The sequence below is a fragment of the Homo sapiens genome, chromosome 9 (genome assembly GCF_000001405.40).
Source record: "Homo sapiens chromosome 9, GRCh38.p14 Primary Assembly".
NCBI classification, from domain to species: Eukaryota; Metazoa; Chordata; class Mammalia; order Primates; family Hominidae; genus Homo; species Homo sapiens.
This window is the reverse complement of record NC_000009.12, coordinates 94,411,363-94,424,358: the sequence shown is the minus strand read 5'-3', so window position 1 is coordinate 94,424,358 and position 12,996 is coordinate 94,411,363. Positions and strand designations below refer to the sequence as shown.

General features: G+C 40.3%; 1 protein-coding gene across 4 annotated transcripts in view; it reads right to left on the bottom strand.

Annotated features, from left to right (window-relative positions):
* The window catches only part of SLC71A2 (solute carrier family 71 member 2), an 86,626-nt gene that overhangs the window by 36,684 nt on the left and 36,946 nt on the right, over positions 1-12,996 (bottom strand). For all 4 annotated transcript variants that reach the window (XM_017015218.2, NM_032558.3, XM_017015219.3 and 1 more), the window contains exon 2: positions 9,106-9,201. In XM_017015218.2, coding sequence (XP_016870707.1) covers positions 9,106-9,114 — 9 coding nt within the window. In that variant the 5' untranslated portion in view covers positions 9,115-9,201. The remainder of the gene's footprint in view (positions 1-9,105; positions 9,202-12,996) is intronic.

Genomic DNA, 12,996 nt, shown 5'->3' with positions numbered 1-12,996 from the left:
GGAGGCTAAAGCAGGAGAATCACTTGAACCCAGAAGGCGGAGGTTGCAGTGAGCCGAGATCGCACCACTGCACTCCAGCCTGGGTGATAGAGTGAGACTCCATTGCTCCCCCCTCCGCCAAAAAAAAACATATTACTATAGAAGTTAACACAGGATGGTGTTGGCACAAGGAAATATAGCTCAACAGAATACTAAAAAATTTAGAAACAAACCCATATATGGACGGTTGTCTCATTTATGACAAAGGTGACACAGTACAGTGGGGAAAGAAGAATTTTTTCAATAAATGATGCTGGTTCAACTATATATTCTTCTGCAACCAAAGTGAATACTGACCCCCTACCAAACACAATGATCTTTCTGGATGATAGGACTACATGAGAACAATAAACCAATTAAGGTTTGTGGTAGAAAAAGTTGTCTTAAACAGGATTTTTTAAAAACACTAACCATAAGCAAAAATAAATTCAACTACATAAAAACTTAAATTCAATTAAAATTAGTGTCATCCAAAGGCATTAAGAGAACAGAAAGGCCCTGACATTGAAGAATTCAGGTGAAGATGCCACCATTCTTGAACTCTGAAAGCCAAACTAGAATCTTCAGAGCAGCCTCAGTCTTAAAATTCAAGCTTCTTTTTCCTACTTTTTATTTCAGTGATATTTAGGACACTCTATATTTCATAAGAGTTATGATCTAACTGGCTCTATAAGCCCAAGTATAAAAATCCTTACCACCTAGCAAGAGACCCACAGAACTAGTCAGTAGTAAGACTGAGGTCACATATTGGAAAAAATATACTAGACCAGGGTTATACACAGGGACCATCCAGCAATAAAGATGTTGCTGGCAAGTAACCATAGTGGTGGGTGACCACTAGCGAAAAGGGCTGAAGAGACCTCAGAAGGTTATCCGGGTTATCTGGGTAGACCTATGTCTTTTTCCATGCCCGAGGGTCACGACGTCACTATGCAGGGCACACGTGGCTTGGTTTAAAGGTCACCTTAATCGTAGCAAATGTAATAAATATTTTTTAGATCCTGAAATTTATAATAAAAATACTTTCCTGCCTACCCTGAAAAAAAAAAAAAAAGAGAGAGAGAGAACAGAAAGGCAATCCCAGGCTGGGCATTCTGGCTCACATCTGTAATCCCAGCACTTTGGGAAGTCAAGGCAGGCAGATCACTTGAGGTCAGGAGTTCAAGATCAGCCTGCCCAACATGGTGAAACCCCATCTCTACTAAAAATACAAAAATTAGCCAGGCTTGGTGGCACGCGCCTGTATTCCAAACTACTTGGGAGGCTGAGGCAGGGGAACTGCTTGAACCCGGGAGGCAGACATTGCAGTGAACCGATATCGCACCACTGCACACTCCAGCCTAGGCAACAAGAGCAAGACTCCATCTAGAAAAAAAAAAAAAAAGGAAGAAAGACAATCCAAGAATAAGGAAAATATATCAATAATAAGTATATGTGTGCGTATAGAGACAAACGTACACATGAAAAAAATTGTACCTAGAATATATAAAGAACTCCTACAAATAAGAAAAAGGGACACAACCCAATTTTTTAAAAACTGATGAAACACATGAACTGACACTTAACAAAAAGATATTCACATGGCCAATAAATATATGTTATACGTAAAGGGGGTTAACTTCATTGGTCGTTAGGAATATGCAAATTAAGACCATAATGTACCTACCAGAATTCAAATTGCTGGTGAAGACATGGAGTCTGCCTGGCTGAAGAGTAAATTGTTCACCCACTCTGGAAAACTTTTAGCACTACATAGTGATGCTGAACACAACCATGCAATTTTACTCCCAGATATATACCCCAAGAAACACGTATACATGTTCACCAAAAGATATATACAAGAAATATTACAACAGCAATATTTGTAATAGGCAAAAACCAGAAACCCAAATGTCCAACAGCAGAATGGATTTGTGTCAATAGACTCCAGGACCATCTCTAAGTTCAGCAATTTGCTAAGAGGATTCCAGGACTCTGAAACTGTTATACTTACAGTTTATTACAGCAAAAGGACACAAAGCAAAATCAGCAAAGGCAAAAGGGACATCAGGCAAAGTCTGGAGGAAGCCAGGTGCATGCTTCTAAGAGTCCTCTCCCAGTGGAGTCACACATAAAGCATTTAATCCCTCCAGCAATAAACTGTAACAATGGCCAGGCACAGTAGCTCAAGCACTTTGGGAGTCCGAAGCGGGTGAATCACTTGACGCCAGGAGTTTGAGACCAGTCTGGCCAACATGGCGAAACCCCATCTCTACTAAAAATACAAAAACTAGCCGGGACTCGGGAGGCTGAGGCAGGAGAATCACTTGAACCCAGGAGGCGGAGCTGCTGTGAGCCGAGATAGCGCAACTGCACTCCAGCCTGGGCAACAGAGCCAGGCTCTGTCTCGGAGGAAAAGAAAAGAAAAAGAGAAACTATAACAACATTATGTGAAGTGTTGTCTGCTATGGAAGCTCACAAAAGCCTAGGAGTCCAGGGTTTTTCTTGGTGGGTGATCTTCAAGGTACACAATGAATGACCAGCTACCAAAGCTCTCTAGTTCACGAGAAGGAAAGGTGTTCACCATAAATAATGCTGTTTGCACAAACTGGAACAATCAAGTTCAAAGATTCAATCACACAAAACGCAAAATATTCCAAGAGCTCAATTCTGGCCTGTCAAGGAACAGTCACAGAAAATGGTCCTCTTGGGAACATGAAAGACTTGAGCAACTTGGGCCTGCTGAATTAATCCTTTCCTGCCCAAGATAACAGAAAATCATATGTGGTTATGTAAGAACACACTATACAACAATGAAATGTTGCTACATACAACATGGATTAATCTCATAAACGTACTAAGCCAAAAAAGCCAGACAACAAAGAGTATACATTGTATGATTCCACTTATATAATATTAAACACACAAACACAAAGGCCAAACTGTCACATTAGAAATGTGACAAGGACAGAAATTACTTAGGATTGTTTCTGGGAGTGTGGTACAGTACTGGATATATAAGTGTACTTACTGTATAAAAATTCATCAAGCTGTGTATTTATAATTTGTACATCTTTCTGTACACATTATACTTCCATTAAAAGCTTACACAAAAAGGTATCTGGTTCCTATTTTATTTTAGCCATGAGGAAACTTTAGGAAAATATATCATTCTATAGAATCATATTTTCCTCAGATCAAACTCCTACACAGCTCAAAATCCTATAATTTTATATTGCGAGGGTAGGAGAACAGCTTTCCTATTTTCTAGTTTTTAGGACAATCAGGGAAATACAGAAATTGAAAAGTGCATAAAGTATTGAGATATCAGCTAGTCCACTGGTTTTTCTAACTATATTACTCAGAAATATAGGAACCCTCTAATGGTTTGATTTGAATTTCTTTCATTTATTTATTTTTTAATTTTAACTTTAATTTTTTTGAGACAGAGTCTCACTCTGCTGCCCAGGCTGGAGTGCAATGGCATGATCTCGGCTCACCACAATCACTGCCTCCTGGGTTCAAGCGATTCTCCTTTCTCAGCCTCCCAAGTAGCTGGGACTACAGGCGCATGCCACCATGCCTGGCTACTTTTTATATCTTTAGTAGAGACGGGGATTCACTATGTTGGCCAGGCTAATCTCGAACTCCTGACCTCGTGATCTGCCCACCTCAGCCTCCCAAAGTACTGAGATTACAGGCATGAGCCACCACGCCTGGCCTTGAATTTAAAAAAAAAAAAAAAGTATTATAAACCCAATATCTACAAGAAAAAAAAATTGTCAGACTTCTCACATTTGACATGACAGTATAAAAAGATTAACAAATTATCTTTCAGTACAGCTGTATAAACCTATTTCAGTGCTCTGGAATTCAATCAAAGGCATAAAACAAACTGGGAGCATTTATTTATTAAGTTACTGAACTTCAGGCAGAAATGGTGGTTTTCAGTTTTGAGCCGCTACCAGACTCCTGCCCCTCCCCCAATCCCAGCTCTGTGGGTATCAGTTTAAGCAGGGCATGCTGCTGCCTGAGAGGACTCGTTGGATTTGGAGTGTTGTCAAGTTAATGGGGCAAACACGGAAGACTAGTGGGTTAGGCCAGGGATATAACAGGTAGTTGTAGGAGGTGAGACAGCCACAAGAGGCTTGAAAAGCTCTCCCCAAATCGGTTGACTCTAGACGATACACACACATATAAGAGACTGGAACACACTCAAGCCACTCATACATCCTTGGCCATCAGAAGCTGCACATACAGAGATTTCAAGAGAATCTGGCAGAGAACAAAAGCCAGGGAAGAACTGAAAATGGCCTGAAGTAAGAATGCACTTCCAGCTCACATACAGATCCATTAGTAGAGAGCTGAAAGTTTACTGGCTCGAGGTGTTTAACTATAATCTCTTACCAATCTGACTGATCCCTAAATAATGGAGACAGAGAACCCAAGGAAGCCAAGCTTAAAAATAAAAATAAAAATAAAAACTGAAAAGAGACATCAGCAGCTGCATACTGTAGAGACTTCACAGATTTAGTCCAAGCAAGTTACTAAACAAGCAAAACAAAAACAACCTTCAAGGTGAGAAAAAAATCAAAATCCATGGCCAAGTGTAGTGGCACATGCCTGTAATCCCAATGCTTTGGGAAGCTGAGGTGAGAAGACTGTCTGAGGCGAGGAGGAGTTCAAGACCAGCCTGGACAACATAGCAAGACGCCATCTCTAAAATAAAAACAAAAGGCCGGGTGCAGTGGCTCACGCCAGTGATCCCAGCACTTTGGGAGGCCGAGGTGGGCGGATCACGAGGTCAGGAGATCGAGACCATCCTGGCTAACACGGTGAAACCCTGTAACTACTAAAAATACAAAACAAAACAAAAAAAAAGAGCCAGGCATGGTGGCGGGCACCTATAATCCCAGCTACTCGGGAGGCTGAGGCAGGAGAATCGCTCGAATCCAGGAGGCGGAAGTTGCAGTGAGCCAAGATCCGCCACTGCACTCCAGCCTGGGCAACAGAGAGAGACTGTCTCAAAAAAAAAAAAAAAAGAAAAAAAAGTTGAAGCTTTAGCCAAGCGTGGTGGTGCACAACTGTAGTCTTAGCTACTCAGGAGGCTGAAGCAGGACAATTGCTTGAGCCCAGAAGTTTGAGGTTGCAGTGAGCTATTATTGTGCCACTGTATTTCAGCCTAGGCAACAGGGCAAGACCCTGTCTCTTAAAAAAAAAAACCCAAAATTGCAAAACTATATTATCTAAATATACAGGTTTTAACAAAAAATGATTGCAATATGCAAAGAAACAAGAACATATAACTCACTCAGGTAAAAAAGGGAGTCAACACGAGGAGTCTCTGAGTGTTTCCAGATGTTGAATATTGCAGACGAAAACTTCAAAGCAGATACTATAAATATGTTCAAAGAACTAAACGAATCCATGTTTAAAGAATTAGAAGAGACCAGGTGTGGTGGCTCACACCTGTAATCCCAGCACTTTTGGAGACTGAGGCAAGAGGACTGCCTGAGCCCAGGAGTTTGAGACCAGCCTAGACAACATAGTGAGACCCCACTCGTGAAAAAAAAAAAAAAAAAAGAATTAAAGGAAAGTATGGGCCAGGTGTGGTGGCTTATGCCTATAATCTCAGCACTTTGGGAGGCCAGCCGAGGCAGGCAGATCACTTGAGGTCAGGAGTTCGAGACCAGCCTGGCCAATATGGTGAAACCCTGTCTCTACTAAAAATACAAAAATTAGTCGGACGTGGTGGCACACACCTATAGTCCCAGCTACTCGGGAGGCTGAGAATCGCCTGAAACCAGGAGGTGGAGGTTGCAGTGAGCCGAGATCATGCCACTGCACTCCAGCCTGAGTGACAGAGAAAGACTGCATCTCCAAAAAAAACAAAGTATGTGAATCACTCAGTGAATAGGAAATTTCAAATAGAATATAAAAATTATAAAAAAGAAATGTGGAAATGCTGCAGTTAAAAATTTGGTAATCCAAATCAACAATCCACTAAAGTGACAACACAGACAATTTAAGATGAACAAAGAAAGAAACAGTAACCTTGAAGACAAATAAATAGAAATTATTCAAACAAAAGCATAGAAAACAATTGGCAAAAAAATAAAAATAAATAAACAGCTCCTCAGAGATGTATGAGACATTATCAAGTGTAAAACACTTACCTATGACCAGGCACGGTGGCTCATGCCTGTAATCCCAGCACTCTGGGAGCCCGAGGCGGGCGGATCAGGAGGTCAGGAGTTCGAGACCAGCCTGGCCAACATGGTGAAACCCTCCCGTCGTCTCTACTAAAAATACAAAAATTAGCCGGGCGTGGTGGCACAAGCCTGTAATTCCAGCTACTCGGGAGACTGAGGCAGGAGAATTGCTTGAACCCGGGAGGCGGAGGATGCAGGGAGCTGAGATCACGCCACTGAACTCTAGCCTGGGTGACAGAGCAAGACTCTGTCGGGGGGGGGGGGGGGGGGTGGGGTGGGAACTTGCCTATAAGGAGAGTCTCAAAAGGAGTAAAGGGACAGTAAAAATATTTGAAGAAATAATGGTCAAAAACTTCCCAAACGTGATGAAAAGCATTAATCTACAGAAACAAGAAGCTCAACAAACCCCAAGTAAAATAAACAAAAAAGACATTCACACCTACACACATTATAGCATAGTCAAACTATCACAGAGTTGGGTTTTTTTGTTTGTTTGTTTTTGAGAAAGAGTTTTGCACTCGTTGCCCAGGCTGGAGTGCAATGACACGATCTTGGCTCACTGTAACCTCCATCCCCCAGGTTCAAGCAATTCTCCTGCCTCAGCCTTCCGAGTAGCTGGGATTACAGGTGTGCACCACCACGCCCAGTTAATTTTGTATTTTTAGTACAGACTGGGTTTCACCATGTTGGTCAGGGTGGTCTCGAACTCCCATCCTCAAGCGATCCACCTGCCTCAGCCTCCCGAAGTGCTGGGATTACAGGCGTGAGCCTCCGCGCCCGGCCTAAAGTTTCATTTTTAAAAGATGAAATGAGTTTTAGAGATGGATGGTGGTCACAGATACCCAACATAATGAAATGTATCTAATACTACTGAACTGTATACTTCAAAACAGTGAAAATGGTAAGTTTGTTATGTGTATTTTACCATAATTTTTCTAAATGGGAAAAAAAGTGATTTGGTTTATCTATATTCATATTAAAAATGTGTCCTGAACAAACACATGTATTTGTTCAAAGAATATATTTATTAAGCACCGACTATATCCCAGGCAGCACTATGCAAACAGTGAGGAAAATTAGAATCTCATGAAACTCAAAATGGGACTAATTATCCTCATTAACTAATAACTAATAACCTACTATAGGTTTCCTACTATGAAGGAAAAACTACTGCAATAAGAAAAAAAGGATTAAGGATGCAGGCAATTTTTAAGTCCTGTGTTCCACCCAAGTTATAATTTTAATGAATAAAACTGTATTTTTTTTTTTTTTTTGAGATGGAGTTTTGCTTTTGTTGTCCAAGCTGGAATGCAATGGCACGATCTCAGCTCACTGCAACCTCCACCTTCTGGGTCCAAGCAATTCTCCTGCCTCAGAATCCTGAGTAGCTGGGATTACAGGCATGCACCACCATGCCCAGCTAATTTTGTATTTTTAGTAGAGACAGGGTTTCTCCATGTTGGTCAGGCTGGTCTCGAACTCCCGACCTCAGGTGATCCACCAGCCTTGGCCTCCAAAAGTGCTGGGATTACAGGCGTGAGCCACCGCACCAGGCCTCAAACTGTATTTTAACTGTGCCAGAAGAATTAAAAACTTTAAAAGGTTCACAGCAAAGTCTTACGTAAGGCTAACGGGCTAACAGCCACCCTCTAAAGTTCTCTGCTGTCTAAACCTTATTTAAGAACAAAGATTATCCGTACCCAGAGGGATTCTTTAGTAAGGCAAAATGATGATTAGGAAGAGTTAAGCTCCAATTTTTTTTTTAATTTTTGTTTTTTTAGAGATGGGGTCTTGCTATGTTGCCCAGGCTAGACTTGAACTCCTGAGCTCAAGCAATCCTCCTGCCTCAGCTTACTGAATAGCTGGGCCTAAAGGCATATGCTACTGTACCCGGCCCATCAATAATTTTTAAAGAATAATTAAGACAACTGAAACTTAACTCCAGTTTAAAATATTTTATTAAAATTAAGTGTTAAATAGTTGTAAGCCACCTAATATCTGCCCCCGTCATCTTTTCTTTGGCATCTCTCTTCCTTCTAACCGCATCATAGATGAAACATACAAGTTCTTGCTAAGATATTCAATACCACCTCTGAAGAAATGGCTATAGATAAGCTACGAAAAACTGAAATTTAGACACTCCTACAATTATTACTCATTGTTACAAAGTACTCACCAATCTGCTATTTACTATGTTCTTAAGTCAAAGACCATTAATATCCTCCTAAAGAAGTTACAGACTTCAACAATGCTCTGCAATTTCCTGTAGGACAGGACCCTATGAGTCCGTGGCCTGTTATGAACCCAGCCACACAGAGCAGCAGGCGAGCGAGCATTACCACCTGAGTTCTGCCTCCTGTCAGATCAGCAGCGGCATTAGATTCTCATAGGGGTGCAAACCCTACTCTGAACTGTGCATGTTAGGGGTCTAAGTTGCGCTCATTATGAGAATCTAACTAATAATGCCTGATGGTCTGAGGTGGAACAGTTTCATCCTGAAACCATCCCCCAACCAACCCAATTCTGTGGAAACATTGTCTTCCACGAAACCAGTCCCTAGTGCTAAAAAAGTTTGGGAGTTGCTGCTGTAGAGTATCTTAAGGATCTTCCTAAACATATACAGTTCGTTTGTATAACAGCACCCCCAAGTTTACTTCAATAAGAGTGCAGTGCTACCCAGGAATATTTAAAGAGGTGTTTTGTGTTACATGTGGTTCAGAAACCACAATGGAAAAAAAAAAAACAATGAAACAAGCTGTTTTAAATCACTATCAAGAGCTACTCCCAAACACGTATCTAGACATACACAGTGATACGTGCCTAAGAACTTATCTCTTTCTCTTACAAAACACAAACCCAGTTCAGCAATACTTACAGTCAACATTGGAGTTGTCAACAGGCCCCACGCAAAGAATTCAAGGAAGATGACAATAGCAGCATGGTACACACTTGGTCGGCCAAAGCCTTGTAGCTAAAAAAGAAAGTTATTATGAAAATTAGCAAAGAAATATAAGAAATCTATTATCTTAAAATGGTATAGAAAAAAATGTGTAAAAATGTGTAAAAAAATTTAGGGCCTACCTCTGTCATTTAAAATAAAACTTCATTCTGTGTTATCCTTGATGCCTTCACTTTCCCTAATAAGGGAAGGTGCTAAGATTACAGACTTTCGGTTGGGTGTGGTGGCTCAAGCTTGTAATCTCAGCACTTTGGGAGGCCAAGGCGGGCAGATCACAAGGTCAGGAGTTCAAGACCAGCATGGTTAACATAGTGAAACCCCACCTCTACTAAAAAATATAAAAATTAGCCAGGCATGGTGGCAGGCTACTTGGTCCCAGCTACTTGGGAGGCTGAGGCAGGAGAATTGCTTGAACCCGGGTGCCGGAGCTTGCAGTGAGCCGAAATCCCGCCACTGCACTCCAACCTGGGTGACATAGCAAGACTCTATCTTGAAAGAAAAAAAGATTATAGACTTTCGATCTATCCCATCGACGCAAATCACTGGAGCTTTAGTAGAAAATCAACTGGATCTTCAAGAAACTAAGTTTCCAAGATCTGACTGCTCTGTCCCTTACGAATTACGTGTTCCTTAGCAACTTAACTTCTCTAGGGCTGAAGTTTCTTTACCTACATAATAAGAGAGATGGGTATGGGTATCACATGCTCAAAGGCCTGAGGGGCAGCTCGGATGACTTTAAATCAGTATGGAATATCTTGAGATATCTCAATTCCAGAGATGTTTAGAAGCAGAGGATGAAAAGTGTGCAATAATGTCTTTGCACCCTCTTATTTATCATCTCTCCCACAGATTACTGCAATGACCTGTTAACCCTGCCTTGACTCGTTTTCCCTGTCCCCTCCAAACTTGTGGTGACATTACACTCAGAGTGAACTTTTTAAAAATACAAATCTTATTCCATCACTCCTGTGGAAAACTGAGAAAACAAAGAACTGCAAAAACAAAGAGCTACAAATTGCTCTCATTCCTGTACACACACATTTTCACAATATGACTTTGCTGCCAATTCCATCAAAAGGTTCAATCTGTTTCTCCATGTCCCTAGATCAAAGCTGGTTTGACAACTTCCTCTAACCAACAGTCAGGTGAAGACAAAACATGGATTTCTGAACCTAGATTGCCAAAGATCAAGACTACCACAAGGAGAAATATCTTCCTGCCACAGGCATATGAGAGGATAAGAAACTCTCCCTATCAAGGCCTCACAGACAAACCAGTTAACAGACATCACCAACTGTCAGACATAGGAGCAAGGCCATCTTAGACGACCCAATTACAATCAGGCCTGCAGGTGACTGCAGAAGCATGAGACACACCAAGAGAAATCAGTGAAGAACTCTCGCTGAGTTCCACTCAAACCCCTAACCCAAAGAATTGTAATAAATGGTTGTTGTTTTAAGCCATTAAGTATAAGGGTTGTTTCTTAATTAGCTTTTTTTTTTTTTTTTTTGAGATGAAGTCTCGCTTTGTTGCCCAGGCTGGAGTGCAGTGGCGTGATCTCAGCTTACTGCAAAGTGCTGGGATTACAGGTATGAGCCCCCATACCCGGCCCACATTCTTTTTAATAGCTAACTACTCAGTATCTCATTGTATGAATGTGCCATAATTTTAACCAATCGAATACTGATAGGAGTACATGGAATTTTCACTTATTTAAAACTGCTGCAATTAACTTTTTAAATTTTGGAATAATATTAAACCTACAGAAAAGTTGCAAAAACCAAGAGTTCCTGTATATCCTTCACCCAGCTTCCCCAAATGTTAAAATCTTCTATAACCATGGTATAATTATCTAAACCAGGAAATTAGCATTGCTACAAAACTTTAATCTACATACCTTATTTGAATGTTGCCATTTTTCCCATTTTCTTTTTCTGGTTCAGAATCTAATCAAAGATTTAACACTGCATTTAGTTCTCACATTTCTTTAGGCTCTTCCAATCTAAGTCAGTTCCCAAGACTTTTATTTTTTTACTTTCATGATCTTGATACTTTCAGGGAATACTAGTATACTCTTCACCAATAATTTTATAGAGTGTCCCTCAATTTGAATTAATCTAATATTCTCTCATGATTAGATTGAGGTTATACATTTTATTTTTTAAAAATATGTCACATCTCATAAAATTCACCATTTTCAAGTGCACACAAGTCAGCGGTTTTTGGAATATTCACAAGATTATACAACCATCACCACTATCTAACTCCAGAACATGTTTATCACCCCCCAAAAGAAGCCCTACACCTATTAGGAGACATTCTTCATTTCCTTCTCCCCCTACTTCCCCTCAGAACCACTAATCTACTTTCTGTCTCTATGGATTTGCCTATTCTGGGATCATACATAAATAGAATCCATAAATGGAATCACACAACATGTAGCCTTTTGTGTCTAGCTTCTTCCAATCAGCATATTTTCAAGGTTCATCCATGTTGTAGCATGTGTCAGTATTTCATTCAATTTTATAGCTAAATGATATTCCACTGCATCGATATACTGCATTTTGTTTATCCATTCATCAGTTCATAGACACTTGGGTTGTTTCCATCTTTGGCTATTATGAATAATGCTGCTATAAACATTGATGTACAAGTTTTTGTATGAACATGTTTCCAGTTCCCTTGGCTATACACATAAGGGTGAAAATGGTGGGACTATTAATATCCTTTTATTAGCATTCTAGGATAAATTTCTAGAAGTGAAGTTGCAGGGCCAAAGAATATACACATTCTAATTTAGAATCCAATTATAATTTTAAAGTTTCACTAATTAAGAGTCAAAAAAATACTTCATCTTATGTCACCTAATCAACTATCTCTAACATATAAAAAGCTTCTAAAAATGTTAAGAAAAAGACTAACAGCCCAATAAAAAGATTGGCAAGAAATATGAACCAGTTCACTGAAATCAAATGTCCCTTAGTAGCCTCACTTGTATTAAGAAACATGCAAAATTAAGCTAAATTCAAACACAAGTTCTCAGTATCAGACATTAAAAGTTCAAAAATTCAAACGTTTGTAAACTATTGATGAAGCAACTGAAAAGAAACACAAACTGCAAATAGGAATGAAAAATGGTACACCACTATGGAAGAAAATTCAGCAACATCTAGACAAATTACATATTTACCCTTTGAAGCAACAATTCTACTTTATCCCTAAACTATGAGGTGCCATATGCACAAAGCTAAAACACTGTAACAGCAAAAATTAACTCTGGGCCAGGGGAAGTGGCTCACACCTATAATCACAGCACTTCGGGAGGCTGAGGCAGGCGGATCACTTGAGGTCAGGAGTTCATGACAAGCCTGGCCATCATGGTGAAACCCCATCTCTACTAAAAATACAAAAATTAGCAAGGCTTGGTGGCGGGTGCCTGTAATCCCAGCTACTAGGGAGGCTGAGGTAGGAGAATGGCTTGAACCTAGGAGGAGGAGGTTGCAGTGAGCCAAGATCACGCCATTGCACTCCAGCCTGGGCAACAAGCACGAAACTCTGTCTCAAAAAAAAAAAAAATCGGCTAACGAATGAAGAAAGGAATAATTAACTTAGAATCCTGCCACTTCACAGCCTTACTGAAATAGTGAATCTAGGCCATGACCATTAATGGCCACTGAAATCACTGGGTAAAAGCTGACAAGGTACAAGGGAATAATCAAACTGATAACACCTGAAACCTGATCAATCATAACATCACAGACAGAGATCATTTGCCACATGATGTAATACAACAAAAAAATACCACCA